The sequence below is a fragment of the Homo sapiens genome, chromosome 16, assembly GCF_000001405.40.
Source record: "Homo sapiens chromosome 16, GRCh38.p14 Primary Assembly".
Lineage (NCBI taxonomy): Eukaryota > Metazoa > Chordata > Mammalia > Primates > Hominidae > Homo > Homo sapiens.
This window is the reverse complement of record NC_000016.10, coordinates 29,678,962-29,698,905: the sequence shown is the minus strand read 5'-3', so window position 1 is coordinate 29,698,905 and position 19,944 is coordinate 29,678,962. Positions and strand designations below refer to the sequence as shown.

The window sequence follows — 19,944 nt, the reverse complement described above, 5'->3', positions numbered from 1 at the left end:
CCTGGTCCCATGGGGCTTCAGTTTCCCCAGTTCAGGCATAAGAAGCTGGGGTTCATCTGAGCGTGTCCATGTTCCCCCTGGAGGAAGGACGGGAGCAGGCAGGGTGGAGCTGGGATTAGAGGGGACAGGGCAGCTGCAGGTGGCACCTCTGGGCTGTGTCCTCTTGTAGCAGGACGAGCCACAGACAAAACTCCTCAGGCACCGGATTAAAGAAGGAAGAGGTTTATTTGGCCAGGAGCATTGGCAGACTTGCATCTTAATAGCTGAGATCCCTGAAAAAGAAATTCTTGGCCTTTTTAAAGGCTTACAACTCTAAGGGGTCCACGTGAAAGGGTCATGATATCTCAAGCAAGCGGGGAACGTGACTGGGGGCTACACGCATCAGCTAACAGAGCAGAAAGTTTTGCAATGCTTTTTCATACAATGTCTGGAATTTACAGATAACACAAGTAGTTTAGGTCAGGGGTTGATATTATTATTATTGTTACTTTTTTTTAACTACCAGGGCCGGGTGGTGTCGCCAAGGTCTTCTGGCTATTTATCTTACTTCTGTTTTGTTTTGTTTTCTAACTTTTTGCTTTCTCTCTTTCCTCCTGTCTTGTAAACTAGGCAAGGTGGGGGGAGGAGGGCAGCAGGAGTAGTAGTGGTCTCCTTCTTACTGTGGGACTGGCCCCTTTGGTTTAGGGTATCACCAAAGGCAGTGTCTAGGCCAGCCCAGTGTCTCTGCCCAGCAAACCTCCATCTGCTGTGCACTCACAGCCAGGCCATGCTGGTGTTTGGTACAGGTTGGGTGCATGAAGGATGAAGGTTTTGGCCTGTCTGGGGCTTTTGCCTGCCTTTCTTCCTTTCTTTCCATCCTTCCTTTCCCTCCCTCCCTCCCTCCCTCTCTCTTTCTCTCTTTCTTTCCTTTGTTTCTTCTTTGGAGACAGAGTCTCGCTCTATCACCCAGGCTGGAGTGCAGTGGCACCATCAGCTCACTGCAACCTCCACTTCCTGGGTTCAAGCGATTCTCCTGCCTCAGCCTCCTAAGTAGCTGGGATTACAGGCGCGTGCCACCACACCCAGCTAATTCTTCTATTTTTGGTAGAGATGGGGTTTCACCATGTTGGCCAGGCTGGTCTCAAACTCCTGAACTCAAGTGATCTTCCCGCCTCAGCCTCCCAAAGTGCTGGGATTACAGGTGTGAGCCATCGTGCCCGGCTGTCCCAGGTAACTTCTGACATTTGCTGACCCCTCACTATGTGCTCATTATCACCGCAGAACCCCATGTGGTTGATCCTTTATTAGACCCATTTTACAGATTAGGAAACTGAGATGAGCAGAGGTGAAGTCAGCCCTGACAGGTCACAGGAGCAGCAGGTGGCAGAGCCAGAGTTGGGCTCAAGCTAGTGCCAAATGTGCCCCATTGGCCACTGACCCTAAAGATGTGTGACCCAGAGGGTCCTGAGGAGCCACGTTAACCCATGGCCGGTGTCATCCTCTTCCGGTTTAGGACTAGTGGATTTTGGGCACTGGAGCCACCTCTTTGGCAAACAGCTTGAGGGAGAAATCAAGGGCTGGGGCCGCCTGGGTCAGCATCCCCATGGAGATGACGTCTATGTGCGGCCCGCAGAACTGGGGGAGGTTGTCCAGGGTGATGCCCCCACTGGCTTCCACAGCCACACTCGGGAACTGGGCCTTCAGCACGGTGGCCGTGGGGTGCAGCTCCTGCGGGACACAAGCCAAGGGGAGGTAAGAGCCCACCACAGATCCCTCCCCGGAGGCAGAGCCCACCTTACCTCTGGCTTGAAGTTGTCCAGCAGGACAAGGTCGGCACCAGCCTCAGCTGCCTGCACGGCCTCCTGCAGGCTGCTGCATTCCACTTCCACCTTCAGAGTGAAGTCAGCCGCCTGTCTGGCCGCCCGCACCGCCTGCTGGGCAGCCGGGAGGACAAGGGTGAGGACTGGGCCCAGCACCTGGCACTGGGGCGCAGGGAGCCGGGAGGGCGAGGGTGACGATAGGGCCCAGCACTGCAGCTGGGGCGCGGGGAGCCGGGACTGACATTTGAAAAGCTTCGGGTGGACCATGAACTTGGGGTTAATAAGGAAACCAGACTTTGGGGTTGTTTTTGCTTTGTTTTGTTTTTGAGACAGGGTCTCAACCTGTCGCCCAGGCTGGAGTGCAGTGGTGCAATGATAGCTCACTGCAGCCTCTACCTCCTGGGATCAAGTGATTCTCCCACCTCAGTCTCCCGAGTAGCTGGGACTACAGGTGCGTGCCACCATGCCCAGCTAATTTTTGTATTTTTAATAGAGACGACGTTTCACCATGGTGGCCAGGATGGTCTCTAACTCATGACCTCGTGATCCACCCATCTCAGCCTCCCAAAGTGCTGGGATTACAGGCGTGAGCCACCGCACCTGGCCACTGTTTTGTTTTTGAGTCAGGGTCCCGCTCTGTCGCCCAGGCTGGAGTTCAGTGCAGTCATAGTTCACTGCAGCCTCCACCTCCTGGGATCAAGTGATCCTCCCACCTCAGCCTCCCAAGTGGCTGGGACTACAGGGGCTTGCCCACAAGCATGGCTAATTTTTTAATTTTTTGTAGAGACAGAATCTTGCTATATGGCCCAGGCTGGTCTCAGACTCCTGGACTTAAGTAATCCCCCCAACTGGGCCTCCCAAAGTGCTGGGATTACAGGTATGAGCCACTGAGCCAGGATGTTTTATTGTAGGTTAAAATGACCACTTTTGTGGGTCAAAAAGTGGATGAATATCAGCAATATTTGGCATTTGGACCTGAGCTCAATTTGACTCAGAATATTAAAATTAGAAGGGGTGTTTAAGGGCATTTCACAGATGGGAAATAAGGTGCAGAGGGCTAGAGAGATGGGCTCAAGGCTGTGGTGCCAGTGACACTGGCTTCCCCTGTGTTGTCCTTTGCTCTTGAACATCACGCCACGCAGCAGCAGAACAAAGATAAAGAACCAATTCCAAAACCAGGCATGGTGGCTTATGCCTATAATCCCAGCACTTTGGGTGGCCAAGGTGGGAGGATCACTTGAGTCCAGAAGTTTGAGACCAGCCTGGGCAACATAGTGAGACCCCATCTCAAAAAAAAAAAAAAAAAAAAAAAAGGCAGCTGGGTGCAGTGGCTCACTCCTGTAATCCCAGCACTTTGGGAGGCCGAGGTGGGTGGATCACCTGAGGTCAGGAGTTTGAGACCAGTCTGGCCAACATGGTGAATCCCTGTCTCTACTAAAAAATACAAAAATTAGCCGGGCATGGTGGCTGGCGCCTGTAATCCCAGCTACTCGGGAGGCGGAGGCAGGAGAATTGCTTGAACCCAGGAGGCAGAGGTTCCAGTGAGCCGAGATTGCATCACTTCACTCCAGCCTGGGTGAAAGAGTGAGACTCCATCTCAAAAAAAAAAAAAAAAAAAAAAAGCAAAAATTAGCCAGTGGGGTGGAGCATGCCTGTATATCCAGCTACTGGAGAGACTGAGGCCCCATCTCCAGAAAAAGAAAAGCAGGCCCAGCTCCCCTTTAGCTTAGCTGGATGAGCTCAACTGAGCCCAGCTCAGATGGAGGAGCTGAGGTGGGAAGAGTCTTGTGTTGCTGACTCCAGGCCATGGCTGTTCACCCGGTCATGGCTGGAGGCTCTGGAGAGGGGAGGGGAGGGGAGGGGTGTGCTGAGGGTGGGGTTGGACCAGGGACAGGCAGGACCAGCACCTTCTCCACGCCACCGGCGGCCACCACATGGTTATCCTTCACCATCACCAGCCCTCCCAGGTCGTAGCGGTGCGAGGCGGCCCCGCCCACCAGGAGCCCATACTTCTCCACCAGCCGGAAGCCTGGCGTGGTCTTCCTCGTGCCTGCCACGTGCCCAGTCCAGCCGGCCCCCCTGGCGGCCTCCACTGCAGCGGCGGCAGCACTGGCAATGCCACTGCAGCGGGCCAGCGTGTTGAGGGCCACCCGTTCCCCCAGCAGCAGGCAGTGGGCAGGGCCCCGGACCTCGGCCACTCTGGCCACCGGCACCAGCTTCGATCCCTCGGGGAGGAACCAGGAGACTTGGCAGTTGAGTTGGGTAAATATGGCATCGAAGAAAGGCTGCCCTGCCAGTACCCCAGGGGATTTGGCCCACAGCGCCGCCTGCGAGGGGCCTGCCCCGCTGACCAAGGCTGCGTAGTTGAGCCCTGGGCAGTCCTCTCGGAGCCAGCTGTCCACCAGGGCTGCCAGGGTGACGGGCGGCAGCAGCAGCGCCAGGCCTGGGGGGAAGAGAGAACAGCTGTTGAGTTTGGCTGCCTCTCCTGCTGTCAGGGGTCACTGTCAAAATATTTAACAACCAGTGAAACTGGGAACTGGCCCATCAGCCTCAAGATCTAGGGGTCCCAGGGGGGGGACTGCGGTGAGGAAGGGGGGCGTGGGGGGAAGGGAGGTTGTGGGGGCGAGGGTGAGGGAGTGCTGTGGGCTTGATGAGATCACTGGGCACCTAGTTAAATTTAAACTTCTGGGCCGGGCGCGGTGGCTCACGCCTGTAATCCCAGTACTTTGAGAGGCCGAGGCGGGCGGATCACGAGGTCAGGAGATCGAGACCATTCTGGCTAATATGGTGAAACCCCGTCTCTACTAAAAATACGAAAAAATTAGCCAGGCTTGGTGGCGGGCGCCTGTAGTCCCAGCGACTCCAGAGGCTGAGGCAGGAGAATGGCGTGAACCTGGGAGGTGGAGCTTGCAGTGAGCCGAGATCAGGCCACTGCACTCCAGCCGGGGTGACAGAGTAAGACTCCGTCTCAAAAAAAAAAATTAAACTTCTGACCGGGTGCGGTGGCTCACGACTGTAATCCCAAACACTTTGGGAGGCTGGGGCAGGCAGATCACTTGAGGTCAGGGGTTCAAGGCCAGCCTGGCCAACATGGTCTCTACTAAAAATACAAAAATTAGCCAGGCTTGGGGGTGGACACCTGCAATCCCATCACAGTTTGTTTATCCAATACTCACCAGTTGCAGCTTTCAAATTCACTTAAAAAAAAAATCAGTCTGGCCAGGCGCGGTGGCTCACGCCTGTAATCCCAGCACTTTGGGAGGCCAAGGCGGGAGGATCACCTGAGGTCAGGAGTTTGAGACCAGCCTAGCCAAAATGGTAAAACCCTCCTGTCTCTACTAAAAATACAAAAATTAGCCGGGCGTGGTGGCAGGCGCCTGCAATCCCAGCTACTCGGGAGGCTGAGGCAAGAGAATTGCTTGAACCCGGGAAGCAGAGGTTGCAGTGAGCCGAGGTCACGCCACTGCACTCCAGCCTGGGTGACAGAGCAAGACTCCACCTAAAAAAATAGTAATAAAAATAAAAAATAAATAAAATGAGGATGATGGGGCTGGGTACAGTGGCTCATGCTTGTAATCCCAGCACTTTGGGAGGCTGAGGCAGGTGGATCACCTGAGGTCAGGAGTTCAAGACCAGCCTGGCCAACATGGCAAAACCCCGAAAAAAATGAGCCAAGTATAGTGGCGCAGGCCTGTAATCCTAGCCACTCGGGAGGCTGAAGCAGGAGAATCGCTTGAACCCAGGAGGCAGAGGTTGAAGTGAGCTGAGATCGTGCCACTGCACTCCAGCCTGGGTGACAGAGCAAGACTCCGTCTCAAAACAAAAAAAAGGATGATGGGGAGGTGGGGAAGGTTAATGGGTACAAAAAAAATAGAAAGAATGAATAAGACCTACTATTTGCTAGCACAACAGGGTGACTACAGTCAATAATAACTGTACATTTCGAAATAACTAAAAGAATGCAATTGGATTGTAACAGAAAGGATAAATGCTTGAGGGGATGGACACCCCATTCTCTATGATGTAATTTTTTTTTTTTTTTTTTGAGACAGAATCTCACTCTTGTTGCCCAGGCTGGAGTGCAATGGAGTGATCTCGGCTCGCTTCAACCTCCGCCTTCCGGATTCAAGCGATTCGCCTGCCTCAGCCTCCCGAGTGGCTGGGGTTACAGGCGCCTGCCACCATACCCGGCTAAATTTTGTATTTTTAGTATAGACGGGGTTTCACCATGTTGGCCAGGCTGGTCTGGAACTCCTGACCTCGTGATTCGCCCGCCTCCGCCTCCCAAGTGCTGGGATTACAGGCGTGAGCCACTGCGCCCGGCCTAACCTGATTTATTTATTTATTTGTTTTTTTGAGACGGAGTCTCGCTCTGTCGCCACTGTGGCGCCTGCAGTGGCCTGGCGACTGCAGAGGCGCGATCTCGGCGTCAGCCACCGCATCTAGCCCATGATGTGATTATTATGCATTGCATGCCTTTATCAATGTGCACCCCATAAATATATACACCTACTATATACCCACACTTTTTTTTTTTTTTTGGAGATAGTCTCGTTCTGTTGCAGTGGCGCGATCTCGGCTCACGGCAAGCTCCGCCTCCCGGGTTCACGCCATTCTCCTGCCCCAGCCTCCCGAGTAGCTGGGACTACAGGCGCCCACCACCACGCCTGGCTAATTTTTTTGTGTTTTTAGTAGAGACGGGGTTTCACCGTGTTAGCTGGGATGGTCTCAATCTCCTGACTTCGTGATCCGCCCGCCTCGGCCTCCCAAAGTGCTGGGATTACAGGCGTGAGCCACCGCGCCCGGCCAGTACCCACACTTAAAAAATAAATAAATAAATAAATAAATAAATAAATAAGGATAGTGGACATGGTGAAGGCCCCTCGCGCGGTAGGCATAGCCCGTGATGGGCCCTGCATGGCTGCGGGCAGAGGCAAACCCAGGCGCGGTGCAACAGCGCCATCTATCGGCAGGGAGAAGACCTGCAGCCTAATGGACCCCCGCCATCCGTGGAGTTGGCTTCCCCTTGAGGGGAACACAGAGCCAGCGAGGGTGTTTGATTTAGCGCGCACACACGTGCACGCACACGCACAAGCACGCGCACACAGCACACTTCTGTTCCAAGTGGAAGTGAAGGCCAGACATCCTGGCTTGCTCCGCTCTCCAAAGAGGGCCCTCTCTTGTCTACTTCCCCAAAGCCAAGCTGCTGAGTCTCCACTCACTCACCCCACCTCCCCTCCGAGCCACAAGCCTCCTTGACTGCACCCGGCTCTCCTTCGCCACATTCTCTCCCACATCTGCCCCAGATGGCTCCTGTCCCTCCACTAAGAGCTAGCTATACTGAGGCTGGGCACTGTCTCTGTTGGTCACATCCAGCTACGGAAAAGGCCTGGGAGCAAACGGCAGGGAGGAGAGCCTAATCCCCCACTCCCACTCCATTCAAACTAGGTGCAGTGCAGTGGCACGATCATGGCTCACTGCAGCCTCAACTGCCCAGGCTTAAGCAATCCTCTCGCCTCAGCTTCCCAAGGAACTGGGACTACAGGCGCACACCAACCATGCCCGGCTAATTTTTGTATATTTTTTGTTGTAGAGATGGGGGTCTCACTATATTCCCCAGCCTCGTCTTGAACTCCCAGGCTTAAGCAATCCTCGCACCTCAGCCTCTCAAAGTCCTGGGATTACAGGAGTGAGCCACTGTGCCCACCCTGATTTTTTTTTTTTTTTTTTTTTTTTTTTTTTGATGCAGAGCTTCACTCTTTTGCCCAGGCTGGAGTGAAGTGGCCTGATGTCACCTCACTGCAACCTCCGTCCCGCGGGTTCCAGGGATTCTTCTGCCTCAGCCTCCCAAGTAGCTGGGATTACAGGTGCCCGCCACCACGCCCAGCTAATTTTTGTATTTTTAGTAGAGACAGGGTTTTGCCATTTTGGCCAGGCTGCTCTCAAACTCCTGACCTCAGGTGATCCTCCCGCCTTGGCCTCCCAAAGTGCTGGGATTACAGGCGTGAGCCACCGTGCCTGGCCAGACTGATTTTTTTCTTTTTTTTTCAGGCTGATTTTTTAAAAAATGGATTTGAATTCTGCAACTGGTGAGTATTGGGTAAACAACCTGTGATGCAGGCTGGGCACCATGGCTCACGCCGTAATTCCAGCACTTTGGGAGGCCAAGGTGGGCAGATCACGAGGTCAGGAGTTCAAGACCAGCCTCTCCAACATGGTGAAATCCCATCTCTACGAAAAAATACAAAAACTAGCCGGGCGTGGTGGCATGTGCCTGTAATCCCAGCTACTTGGGAGGCTGAGGCAGGATAATCACTTGAACCAGGGAGGCGGAGTTTGCAGTGAGCTGAGGTCATGCCGCTGCACTCCAGCCTGGACCACAGACTGAGAATCCATCTCAAAAAAAGAAGAAACCAACTACTGATACACACAACAATAGGGACCTGTCTCAAATGTATCAGTCTAACTAAAAGGAGCCAGATCCAAAAGGCCGTATGATCCCATTCCCGCAGCATCCTGGGAAAGGCAAAACTATAGGCACAGAGCAAATCAGCATTGCCTGGGGAGTGGGAGGAGTTGACCACCGAGATCTGGCGAGGTTGCAAAGAAAAAGGATCACTTATACACTGTTGGTGGGAGTGTAAATTAGTTAAACCATCGTGGAGGACAGTGCAGCAATTTCTCAAAGACCAAAAACCAGAAATACCATTCCACCCAGCAATCCCATTACTGGGTATATACCCAAAGGAATGTAAACCATTCTGTTATAAAGACACATCACAGCACTATTCACCATAGGAAAGACATGATTCAACCTAAATGCCCATCAATGCTAGACTGGACAAAGAAAGTGTGGTACACATACACCGTGGAATACTATGCAGCCACAAAAAAGAATGAGATTACGTTCTTTGCAGGGACATGGATGGCGCTGGAGGCCATTATCCTTAGCAAACAAACGCAGGAACAGAAAACCAAATACCGCGTGTTCTCACTTATAAGTGGGAGCTAAATGATGAGAACACATGGACACATAGAGGGGAATAACACATACTGGAGCCTATTGGAGGGCGGAAGTTTGGAGGAGGGCAAGTGTAGCAAGACGAGCTGTGGACAAAACCCCTCAGACACCAAGATAGTGAAGGGAGTGGCTTTAATCAGCTGGGAGCATTGGCAGGCTAGCGTCTTAAAATCCGAGCTCTTCAGGTGCTCAACTTCTGTCCTTTTTAACGGCTCACAACTCTAAGGGGGTCCGCGTGAGAGGGTCGTGATTGAGCAAGCCAGGGGGTACGTGACAGGGGCTGCGAGCACCGGTGGTCAGAGTGAAACAGAACCTAACGGGAGGTTTCACAATGTCCTTCCATACAATGTCTGGAATCTATAGATAACAACAGTTGCTAGGTCAGGGGTCGAATTTTAACTACCAGGCTTAGGTCAGGCACGCCCAGGCCTGATTTCGGGTCTGGTTCCTTGGTTTCCGGTCTGGTTCCTAGGCACCAGGCTACCTGCCTTTAGTTTCGCTTCTCTTTCCTTTTCTGAGTATGAAACAATATGAGAGGGTCTCTCTCTTCCCTCAAGAGGATCAGGAAAAATAACTAATGGGTACTAAACTTAATACCTGGGTGACTAAATAATGTGTACAACCCCCATGACACAAGTTTACCTATATAATAAACCTGCACATGTACCCCTGAACTTAAGATAAAAGTTAAGGCCGGGCATGGTGGCTCATGCCCGTAATCCCAGCACTTTGGGAGGCCAAGGTGGGTTGATCACCTGAGGTCAGGAGTTCAAGACCAGCCTGTCCAACATGGCAAAACCTCATCTCTACTAAAAACACAAAAATTAACCAGCTGTGGTGGCAGGCGCCTGTAATCCCAGCTACTTGGGAGGCTGAGGCAGGAGAATCTCTTGAACCCAGGAGGCAGAGGTTGCAATGAGCTGAGATTGCGCCATTGCAATCCATCCTGGGTGACAGAGTGCAATTCGGTCTCAAAAAAAAAGTTAAATTTAAAAACAAACAAAAGGCTGGGCGCGGTGGCTCACGCCTGTAATCCCAGCACTTTGGGAGGCTGAGGCAGGCGAATCACCTGAGATCAGGAGTTTGAGACCAGCCTGACCAATATTATGAAACCCCGTCTCTCCTAAAAATACAAAAATTAGCCGGGCATGGTGGTGTGCGCCTGTAGTCCCAGCTACTCGGGAGGCTGAGGCAGGAGAATCGCTTGAACCCAGGAGGCAGAGGTTGCAGTGAGTCAATATCGCGCCATTGCACTCCAGCCTGGCCAACAAGAGCGAAACTCAGTCTCAAAAAAAAAAAAAAAGAGAATAAAAACAAACAAAAAATTAGCCTGAGGTCAGGAGTTCAAGACCAGCCTGTCCAACATGGCAAAACCCTGTCCCTACTAAAAACACAAAACTTAGCTGGGTGTGGTGGCATGTGCCTGTAATCCCAGCTCCTCGGGAGGCTGAGGCACGAGAATTGCTTGAACCTAGGAGGCAGAGTTTGCAGTGAGCCGAGATAGCACCACTGTACTCCAGCCTGGGCGACAGAGTGAGACTCTGTCTTAAATAAATTAATAAACAAACAAATAAATAAAGTAACTTTGATGGGCTCACTCAGAGGTTCTGTCTATAGCCAAACCTCACTCAGGTTCCCTCAGCTCTTTTCCAGTTAGGCCTTGGACTTCCGTGTTCACCTCTGCATCGTCCAATTTTAGCAAGAATACTGCTAAGTCAGCTTAGCCAGTCCCTCATCCTCCACATCTGATTGCCCCCGATCCCTGATGGGGGTCCTCATTCTCCACTCTCCCCCAGGCGCTGTCTGACCACCTTGGCCTGCCCTCAGCAAGAATCCCTTTAGGTTGGTCTTGTCAGAATACCCCCAACCCCCAGTGCTTTCTCATGGTAATGTCCCATCCACTGCCCCCAACTCTGCTCGTTGGCTATAACCCCCATGGTGTAGAGTTCAGCCCAGTTCTGATCTAAGGTCACTCTTCCCCTACAGCAATAGTCTGGAATGCAATATGTTTTTGCTATTTTAACGACTGTCTAGTTCTGGTTTTCTTTGATCACTCTCCTGCTGAAAACTGACCTTTCATGGTTTCAGCTCCAGTTCTCTTGACTTTTTTCTTTCTTTCTTTTTGAGACAGAGTGGAATGCAGTGGTGCAATCATGGCTCACTGCAGCCTTGAACTCCCGGGCTCATGTGGTCCTCTCACCTCAGCCTCCTGAGTAGCTGCTCCACCATGCCAAGGTAATTTTTTTTTTTTTTAATAGAGACAGGGTCTCAAACTCCTGGCTTTTAAACATTTTTTTCTTTTTCTTTTTTCTGAGACAGTCTCACTTTGTTGCCCAGGCTGGAGTGCAGTGGCATGCAATGGAAAAGGGATGGACCCCCGAGCTTTGGCAATAAAAGTAGACTCACTGCAGCCTCTGCCTCCTGAGTTCTCCTGCCTCAGCCTCCTGAGTAGCTGGGATTACAGGCATGTGCCACCATGCCTGGCCAATTTTTGTATTTTAGTACATTTCTGTATTTTATAACAGCACGAGGAGGTCATTATTGTCATCCCTGTCACAGATTAGGAACCCAAGGCCCCTGAGGGTTGTCTCCAGTCCACAATCACTTAGTGACAAGTGGCAGAGCCAGGGCTGGACCTCAGGTGTGCGGCCCCAGAGCCTGGGCTCTGATTCACTGTGCTACGCAACCTCTCTGATGGGATAAGTATCCTAGCTCACATACTATGAAGCTAACCAATATAAAATTGCCAATATTTGGCCGTTTTGACCAATAAAAGCAGCACATTTATATGGTTCAGTATACGAAGCACTTGGATATAGCAGAAAACTCAATGGCCAGACACAGTCTTTGCCCATCGAGAGGAAACAGCCGTAGACTGTGATGATGGGGGAAGAACAGGAAGCACAGAGGGACCAGGATCTAACCTCCGGGCGTGTCTGTGAGGCCCCTGCTGAGGAAGTGATGTTTAAGGGAAGACCTGCAAGAGGAACAAGAGCTGAAGGGGGAGATTGGGGATGAGGATAAGGGAAGGGGCTTCCAGGCCAAGGCACAGTCCTGCAACAGCATAGGCTAAAGCCTGACAAGTAAGAGAAAGAGCTGCCCACGCTGTTGCCTCCATGCCTAGCAATTATTAACACCCCACACAGTGCAGGTGCTCAATGAGGATGTGTCAGAGAATCAGTGAAAAATGGAAAGAAGTTGCCAGGTGTGGAGGCTCATGTCTGTTAATCCCAGCACTCTGGGAAGCCAGGGTGGGAGGAAGACAAGGCCAGGAGTTGGAGGCTGGGCACAGTGGCTCACGCCTATAATCCCAGAACTTTGGGAGGCCGAGGCAAGTGGACCACTTGAAGTCAGGAGTTCAAGACCAGCCTGGCCAAGATGGTGAAACCCCGTCTCTACTAAAAATACAAAAAATAAAAAAAATTAAAAAAATAAAAAGCCGAGCGCCTGTAATCCCAGCTACTCGGGAGGCTGAGGCAGAGAATTGCTTGAACTTGGGAGGCGGAGGTTGCAGTGAGCCAAGATTGTGCCACCGCACTCCAGCCTGGGCGACAGAGCAAGACTGCGTCTCAAAAACAAAAAACAAAAGACTTTATGTTTGAAAGCCCTTAGGAACACTGTCTAGCACAGGGTAGGCGTGCTCGCGAAGAAAAGAAGCGTTTCTCAAGTGTGGTGGACTCATGGAATAAATGACTAGGTGTCTCTGAGGACCGGTGAGTGATGTTTGCCAGGCAGAGGTGTGGGGTGGGGCTGACATTTGGGGCTGAGAAAACTGATCTGTTCACCTGCAGACAGTGTCGGGGTGGGGGCAGTGTGGGATTCACAGGTGACATGGTGGGAGGAGAGGCCACAGGGAGAAAGAACTAAACTATTTAGCTGAGGAATTTGGCCAGATCGCAGAAGCCATCATAAAATTTCATTTTATTGGCCGGACACAGTGGCTCACACCTGTAATTCCAGCACTTTGGGAGGCCGAGGTGGGCCGATCACCTGAGGTCAGGAGTTCGAGTCCAGCCTGACCAACATGGTGAAACCCCGTCTCTACTAAAAATACAAAATTAGCCGGGCATGGTGGCACATGCCTGTAATCCCAACTACTCAGGAGGCTGAGGCAGGAGAATCGGTTGAACCCGGGAGGTGGAGGTTGCCGTGAGCTGAGATCCCACCATTGTATTCCAGCCTAGGCAACAAGAGCGAAACTCCATCTCAAAAAAAATTTTCTTTTCATTTTATTTTATTATTTTTAAGTAGAGACGGGGGGTCTCGCTATGTTGCCCAGGCTGGTCTTGAACTCCTGGGCTCAAGCAGTCCTCCCACCTCGGCCTCCCAAAGTGCTGGGATTACAAGTGTGATCCACCATGCCTGACCCATCACAGAATTTTAAAAGAGGGAGTGATATGATTATGGTTTTGCTCCAGAAGGGTCACTTCAGCCACCAACTGGAGACAGATTGGGAGGCAAAAGAAGGCTGAGGTAGTCTTGGCCAGACAAAAAGTAGGCTGGGCGCGGTGGCTGTCACCTGTAATCCCAGTGCTATGGGAGGCCAAGGCAGGAGGGCCACTTGAGGCCTGGGCAACATAGTGGGACCCTGCCTCCACAAATAATTTTTTTTTGTTTGAGACGGAGTCTCACTGTCGCCTGGGCTGGAGTGCAATGGTGTGATCTCAACTCACTGCAACCTCTGCCTCCCGGGTTCAAGTGGTTCTCCCGCCTCAGCCTCCCGAGTAGCTGGGATTACAGGCATGCAGCATCATCCCTGGCTAATTTTTGTATTTTTGTAGAGATGGGGTTTCACCATGTTGGTCAGGCTGGTTCTTGAACTCTTGACCTCAGGTGATCCACCTGCCTCGGCCTTCCAAAGTGCTGGGATTACAGGTGTGAGCCACTGCGCCCGGCCAACAAATAATTAATTTGAAAAAATATTTTCAAAAAAACCAAAAGAGATGGAGCCCTGAACTTTGACAGTAGCTCTGGGGTAGATTTGAGGGCTATTTCCAAAAGGGGATCTACCAGAATTAGTAGCTAAAGAGATGTGGGAGCCTTGGGCCTCTGGCCTGGGTAGCTGAGAGCTGGCAGAAGGAGTCATTCCAGGAGAAGAGCAGGCAGGGTGGAGGTGGGACAGCAGGAGGGGGCGGTGACCCCACTGAGTGCCATGGCGTGCCAGCCATGGCGTGCCAGCCGCGGGCACCCCTGTTCCCCTTTGTGCTCTCATCTGGAGCTCACCACAGGGATTCTTCCCATTTCACAAGAACAGAAGCTGAATCCCAAAGCGTTTCCTGAATCGTGGCCTGGTGAAACAGCTTAGCTTCTGCAGAGCTCGAGAGAAAGAACGGATTTGGTTTTGCAGAGGTTAAGGCTGAGGCGGCAGCAGGAGATGTGGATGGTGGTGCCCAGAGGGTGGTAGGGAATGGCTCTGGAGTTCAGAAGAGATGCTGCCGTGGCCAGGCGCGGTGGCTCACGCCTGTAATCCCAGCGCTTTGGGAGGCCGAGGCGGGAGGATCACGAGGTCAGGAGATCAAGACCATCCTGGTGAAAACGGTGAAACCCCGTCTCTACTAAAAATACAAAAATTGAACTCCGGGGCCAACATAGCAAAACCCCGTCTCTACTAAAAATACAAAAATTAGCCAGGCGTGGTGGTGGGCGCCTGTGATCCCAGCTACTCAGGAGGCTGAGGCAGGAGAATCGCTTGAACCTGGGAGGCAGAGGTTGCAGTAAGCCGAGATAGTGCCATTGCTCTCCAGCCTGGGCAACAAGAGCAAAACTCCGTCTCAAAAAACAAAAGAAAAAAAGAAAAAGTTAGCTGGGCATGGGGGTGCACGCCTGTAGTCCCAGCTACTCGCCAGCTACTCGGGAGGCTGCGGCTTGAGTCCAGGAGTTGGAGGCTGCAGTGACCTGTGATTGCACCACTGCACTCCAGCCTGGGTGACAGAGCAAGCCACGGTCTCTAAAATAAAATAATAAGATAAAGAACCCACAGGGCATGTCCAACAAAAAGAGAAGCATCATCAGGAGTGGGTACCTGGGAAGGAGAAGAGGGTTTTGGGAGGTGAGCAGAAGTAAATAGAAGGAAGACTGAGGATGGGGCTCTGCACTTAGCAACTGTGAGGCCTGTGCCAGAGCGGTTTTTGTGCCATGTGTCGGGGGCAGAAGCCACATTGTCATGCTCGAGGAGCGCACGGGAGGTAGGGAAGTGGGGGTGTTGGTGTGAACCACTCCTTTCAAGAGAAGTGGACACAGTGGGGCCTCTGCCTGGGCTGCACACCAGAATCACAGGGAGCTTTTCAAACTTTCAGATGCTCAGGCCCATTCCAACCCAGTGAACCAGAATCTCTGGGGGTAGTTTCCAGGGATCCAGGTTGGGGAAGAGCCAGCCCCCACCCTGCTCTGTGACTCAGATGCACATGAGGATCAAGAATCAATGCTCGGCCAGGGGCGGTGGCTCATGCCTGTAATCCCAACACTTTGGGAGGCCGAGGCAGAAGGATCGCTTGAGGCCAGGAGTTTGAGACCAGCCTGGGCAGCATAGTGAGAACCCATCTCTACAAAAACAATTTTAAAAATTAGCTGGGCATGGTGACACACGCCTGTAGTCCTAGCTATTCAGAAGGCTGAAGTGGGAGGATCCCTTGAGTCCAGGAGTTGGAGGCTGCAGTGAGCTATGATGGAGCTACTGCACTCTGGCCTAGGCAACAGGGTGAGACCCTGCCTCAGGGAAAAAAAAAAAAGAACCAATGCTCTCATAAGACCACATATTGGCTGGGCGTGGTGGTCACACCTGTAATCCCAGCACTTTGGGAGGCCAAGGTGGGCCTAAGATCACCTTAGGTCAGGAGTTCGAGACCAGCCTGGACAACATGGTGAAGCGCTGTCTCTACTAAAAAAATACAAAATTTATCCATGTGTGGTGGTGCACGCCTGTAATCCCAGCTACTCGGGAGACTGGGGTGAGAGAATCGCTTGAATCTGGGAGGCGGAGGTTGCAGTGAGCCGAGGTTGCGCCACTGCACTCCAGCCTGGGCAACAGAGTGAGATTCCATCTCAAAAAAAAAAAAAAAGAATCAGTCAGGTGTGGTGGCTCATACCTGTAATCCCAGCACTTTGGGGCATTTGAGACCAGCCTGTGCAATATAGTGAGACCCCTATCTCTAAATTAAACATTTTTTAATCAAAAAAATAAAGTTTCAAAGACTCTTAAAACATACTAACCAATCACAAAGTGTAGATTTTACTTAGATCCTAATTCAAACAAACTAAAAGCAAATTAGGCTATTTATGAAACCACTGGAATCTGGACATTGAATGTTTGATAACACCAAGGAAATTTTTAAAGTTTAGTTTTGACAATAGTATTGTGGTTGTAGTAAAAAGAAAAGTCTTTATCTTTTAAGAAAAAAACATGATGAGGCTGGGCGCAGTGACTTGCGCCTGTAATCCCAGCACTTTGGGAGGCCAAGGTGGGTGGATCACCTGAGGTGAGGAGTTCAAGACCAGCCTGGCCAGCACGGCAAAACCCATCTCTACTAAAAAAAAAAATGCAAAAAAATTAGCTGGGCATGGTGGTGGGCACCTGTATCCCCAGCTACTTGGGAGAGTGAGGCAGGAGAATCACTTGAACCTGGGAGGCAGAGGTTGCAGTGAGCCAAGATCACGCCATTATACTCCAGTCTGGGCAACAAGAGCGAAACTCCATCTCAAAAAAGAAAGAAAGAAAACATGCTGAGATGTTCACATATGAAAAGATTTGAGCCAGGCACGGTGGCTCATGCCTGTAATCCCAACACTTTTGGGAGGCTGAGGTTGGAGGATCGCTTGAGGCTGGGAGTTTGAGACCAGCCTGGGCAACACAGCAAGAACCCATCTCTAAAAAAAAAAAAAATTTATTTTAATTAGCCAGGTGTGGTGGCACACGCCTGCAGTCCCAGCTACTCCACAGGCTGAGGCAGGAGGACCACTTGAGCCCAGAAGTTGGAGGCTACAAACAGTGAGCTATGATTATGTTACTGCACACCAACCAGCCTGGGTGACAGAACAAGACCCCGTCTAAAAAACAAAAGAGGCCGGGTGCGGTGGCTCACACCTGTAATCCCAGCACTTTGGGAGGCCGAGGAGGCAGATCACAAGGTCAAGAGATCGAGACCATCCTGGCCAACATGGTGAAACCCTGTCTCTACTAAAACTACAAAATTAGCTGGACATGGCAGCAAGTGCCTGAAGCACGTGTAGTCCCAGCTACTCGTGAGGCTGAGGCAAGATAATCACTTGAACCTGGGAGGTGAAGGTTGCAGTGAGCCGAGATCCTGCCACTGCACTCCAGCCTGGTGACAGAGTCAGACTCCATCTCGAAAAAAAAAAAAAAAGAATCTGGATCTGCTAGCCTGGCCAACATGGTGACACCCCATCTCTACTAAAAATACAAAAATTAGCCGGGCATGGTGGTTTATGCCTGTAGTCCCAGCTACTCGTGAGGCTGAGGCAGGAGAATCGCTTGAACCCGGGAGGCAGAGGTTGCAGCGAGCCAAGATCATGCCACTGCACTCCAGCCTGGACAACAGGGCGAGACTCTGTCTCAAAAAAAAAAAAAAAAAAAAAGAATCTGGATCTGATGAAAATTATGGATCTCCTTCCCAGAAAAATGCGTAACCGTGTTCTCACAAAGACACACAATTTCACCTGCAAATTCTGGGGTTCATGAACTCCCCCAGAGCCCATCCCTGATCCCTCAGTAAAGAATCCTGGCTCTGAAGGAATCAGGTCGAGACCCCTTGACATCTGCTAAGGTATTTAATCTTCATTACAACCCCGTGAGACCAGTGCCACCAACTCCATTGTCCAGATGTGGAAACGGGCTTCTACAGGTTACAAAACTTGCCAGGGTTTCCACTGCTGCTGAGTGGCAGTCAGGATTCACATCCAGGTCGGCGTTGTTTCAAAAGAGAAAGACACAATGGAGATTGAAAGGTGTTTGGCGTGGCATCCTGCATGGGACCCCTGAGAGCTGGTTCCACAGTGGAGCCAGAGGGACCGGGTGTATGGGGCCAGCAGGCACCTCAAACATGGAGGAGGGTCTAAGCACCTGTGCCTCCCATCCTCTGTCCTCCCCACAACCTTCTGAGCAGGGAACTATTTATTTTCCTTTTTTTTTGAGATGGAGTCTCGCTCTGTCGCCCAGGCTGGAGTGCTGAGGCCTGGTCTCAGCTCACTGCAACCTCCGCCACTGGGGTTCAAGCAATTCTCCTGCCTCAGCCTCCCATGTAGCTGGGATTACAGGTGCGCACCACCACACTCGGCTAATTTTTGTACTTTTAGTAGAGACGGGGTTTCACCATGTTGGCCAGGCTGGTCTCAAACACCTGACCTCAAGTGCTCCACCCACCTCAGCCTCCCAAAGTGCTGGGATTACAGGCGTGAGCCACCGTGGCGGGCCAGAGCAGGGAACTATTATTGTCATTTTACAGATGGAAGAAAACGGGACTCTGAGAAGCCAGGACCCACCCATGGTCACACAGCCCCATCCCTGGTGGAGCCTTCTGAGCGTAGAGCATGGACCCCTGGGTTTGTGCTGGTGGAAGGGTTTACGGGGCGCCAGTTTAGTCAGCCACCCCTGTGTAGGACACCTATGGAACACCATAGGGGGCCTCTGAGGAGAATCACCTCCTTATTGCCATTGTGTCCCCAGGCCAGTGAACATGACCTGCTCTGCGGCTTTACACAGAATGCTCTGGGCTGAAACACTTCCTTGAAGCGTTGGAATGTGACCAGACATCCTGGCTCCTTGTAAAACCCACTCCCACCAGCTGCAGCCCAATAAGTTAAAGATTATCTTAGTTGGCCGGGCACGGTGGCTAACACCTGTAATCCCAGCACTTTGGGAGGCAGAGACGGGCGGATCACGAGGTTGGGAAATGAGACCATCCTGGCTAACATGGTGAAACCCCGTCTCTACTAAAAATACAAAAAATTAGCCAGGCGTGGCGGCGGGCGCCTGTAGTCCCAGCTACTCGGGAGGCTGAGGCAGGAGAATGGCATGAACCCGGGAGGCGGAGCTTGCAGTGAGCCGAGATCACGCCACTGCACTCCAGCCTGGGGGAAAGCGAGACTCCGTCTCAAAAAAAAAAAAAAAAAAGATTATCTTAGTAGTTAGACATATGCTTTGAGCTTAAAGGAAATTCACATAAACCACCACGGCTATACATCTTTCAAATGACGCGCACACCCCCACCTTCACCGTTTCACCCCGTACCATCTGCTTCTTAGATCAAAAGATTGTACTCAATAAATTATCAGGCAACCAGGGCTCTGCAGCCTTCACTTTAGCAACTGGCCCCCTGGGGCTGCTTTAAATCTTAACTTGTCTTTTCTCATTCCTTTGTTGCCACCGGACTTCATGGTTGGGGGTTGGGACTGATCACCCCAACAGTTTGCATACAGCTCCCTCCAGGCAGGGAATCACGGGACTCAAGCCCCCTCCCCCACCCAGCTGCAGAAGGGACAGGACTTTGTCTCTGCTTCTCCCGAGCTACCAGCGAGAGCAGAAGTCCATGCTGCTCCCCCAACCAGCCTCCCACTTCCGGCCCCCACTGCCCCCAGGAGACGCCACCTCCTCCAGGCCACCCTGCCCTTTTCTAGGGCTTAAGCCCCTTCCTTCCCCAGAGCTCCTTGGGGACTCAACACAGGAGAAAGAAGAGTGAGAAGGGGCCTCTGGGGGTTGAGCAAGGCTGCAGGGACATGGGGTAGGTAAGGGAGTCGATGGCGGGACCAGAGGAGAGATGACTCCAGAGGAGGCAACAAGGGGCTGAGACAAGCCAGGGTGGGGGCAGGGGTAGGCAGTGGGGGGATGGGTGCAGGGACATGGCAGAGAGAGTGTCCCTTTACCTTCAGCGTCCATGGTGACTTGCAGCTGTCTGGGCTGGTGTGTTGGCTGCTCAGGACCAAGGCTCCCAGAGGCCCCAGGCTGGGGGTGGGACTGTGGAGGGAGGGAGGGCCCATCAAGCTGTCAGCCGGCCCTTCCCAGGCTCCCCAAGCCTCCCTCCTGTCCTCTGCCAGGCCTGCAGATTCCTCAGCAGGCCCTGAAAGTCAGAGGAGGGGCTCTGATGGGGAACTCAGAAGCCCTGCCCCAGCCAG

The 19,944-nt window shown here is 52.0% G+C and overlaps 1 protein-coding gene across 5 annotated transcripts, besides 6 other annotated features; it reads right to left on the bottom strand.

Moving 5' to 3' along the window:
* Positions 1 to 206: 206 nt before the first annotated feature.
* QPRT (quinolinate phosphoribosyltransferase) lies at positions 207 to 19,898 on the bottom strand. Of its 5 annotated transcripts, none has more exons than XM_005255223.4 (4): positions 19,696 to 19,726; positions 3,707 to 4,242; positions 1,779 to 1,913; positions 207 to 1,707 (listed from the first exon to the last, which is right to left on the bottom strand). In XM_005255223.4, the coding sequence occupies exons 1-4, from the start codon at positions 19,706 to 19,708 to the stop codon at positions 1,495 to 1,497; spliced, it is 897 nt and encodes a 298-aa protein (XP_005255280.3). In that variant the 5' UTR covers positions 19,709 to 19,726; the 3' UTR covers positions 207 to 1,494.
* Positions 3,379 to 3,910: an enhancer, noted in NCBI's record as "H3K4me1 hESC enhancer chr16:29706317-29706848 (GRCh37/hg19 assembly coordinates)". NCBI's record gives its function as "activates a minimal SCP1, AML or CMV promoter by ChIP-STARR-seq in naive H9 embryonic stem cells {active_cell/tissue: H9 hESC(naive)}" and the evidence as "EXISTENCE:reporter gene assay evidence [ECO:0000049][PMID:30033119]".
* Positions 6,604 to 6,898: an enhancer, noted in NCBI's record as "tiled region #8247; HepG2 Activating non-DNase unmatched - State 25:Art, and K562 Activating DNase unmatched - State 25:Art". NCBI's record gives its function as "activates a minimal TATA promoter and a strong SV40 promoter by Sharpr-MPRA in HepG2 and K562 cells {active_cell/tissue: HepG2 | K562}" and the evidence as "EXISTENCE:reporter gene assay evidence [ECO:0000049][PMID:27701403]".
* Positions 6,604 to 7,207: a biological region, named in NCBI's record as "Sharpr-MPRA regulatory region 8247".
* Positions 6,707 to 7,207: an enhancer, noted in NCBI's record as "H3K27ac-H3K4me1 hESC enhancer chr16:29703020-29703520 (GRCh37/hg19 assembly coordinates)". NCBI's record gives its function as "activates a minimal SCP1, AML or CMV promoter by ChIP-STARR-seq in naive H9 embryonic stem cells {active_cell/tissue: H9 hESC(naive)}" and the evidence as "EXISTENCE:reporter gene assay evidence [ECO:0000049][PMID:30033119]".
* Positions 6,987 to 7,096: an enhancer, noted in NCBI's record as "active region_10666". NCBI's record gives its function as "activates an Ori minimal core promoter by ATAC-STARR-seq in GM12878 lymphoblastoid cells {active_cell/tissue: GM12878}" and the evidence as "EXISTENCE:reporter gene assay evidence [ECO:0000049][PMID:35858748]".
* Positions 19,181 to 19,682: an enhancer, noted in NCBI's record as "OCT4-NANOG-H3K27ac-H3K4me1 hESC enhancer chr16:29690545-29691046 (GRCh37/hg19 assembly coordinates)". NCBI's record gives its function as "activates a minimal SCP1, AML or CMV promoter by ChIP-STARR-seq in naive H9 embryonic stem cells {active_cell/tissue: H9 hESC(naive)}" and the evidence as "EXISTENCE:reporter gene assay evidence [ECO:0000049][PMID:30033119]".
* Positions 19,899 to 19,944: the final 46 nt, after the last annotated feature.

Bases quoted from the DNA above. Each gene is read 5' to 3' on its own strand.
- QPRT (XM_005255223.4), bottom strand. The intron at 1,914-3,706 runs GTGCTGGTCCTG...CCGGCTGCCCAG, and splicing joins CCGCCGGTGGCGTGGAGAAG to CAGGCGGTGCGGGCGGCCAG. The intron at 1,708-1,778 runs GTAAGGTGGGCT...TGTGTCCCGCAG, and splicing joins TGGACAACTTCAAGCCAGAG to GAGCTGCACCCCACGGCCAC.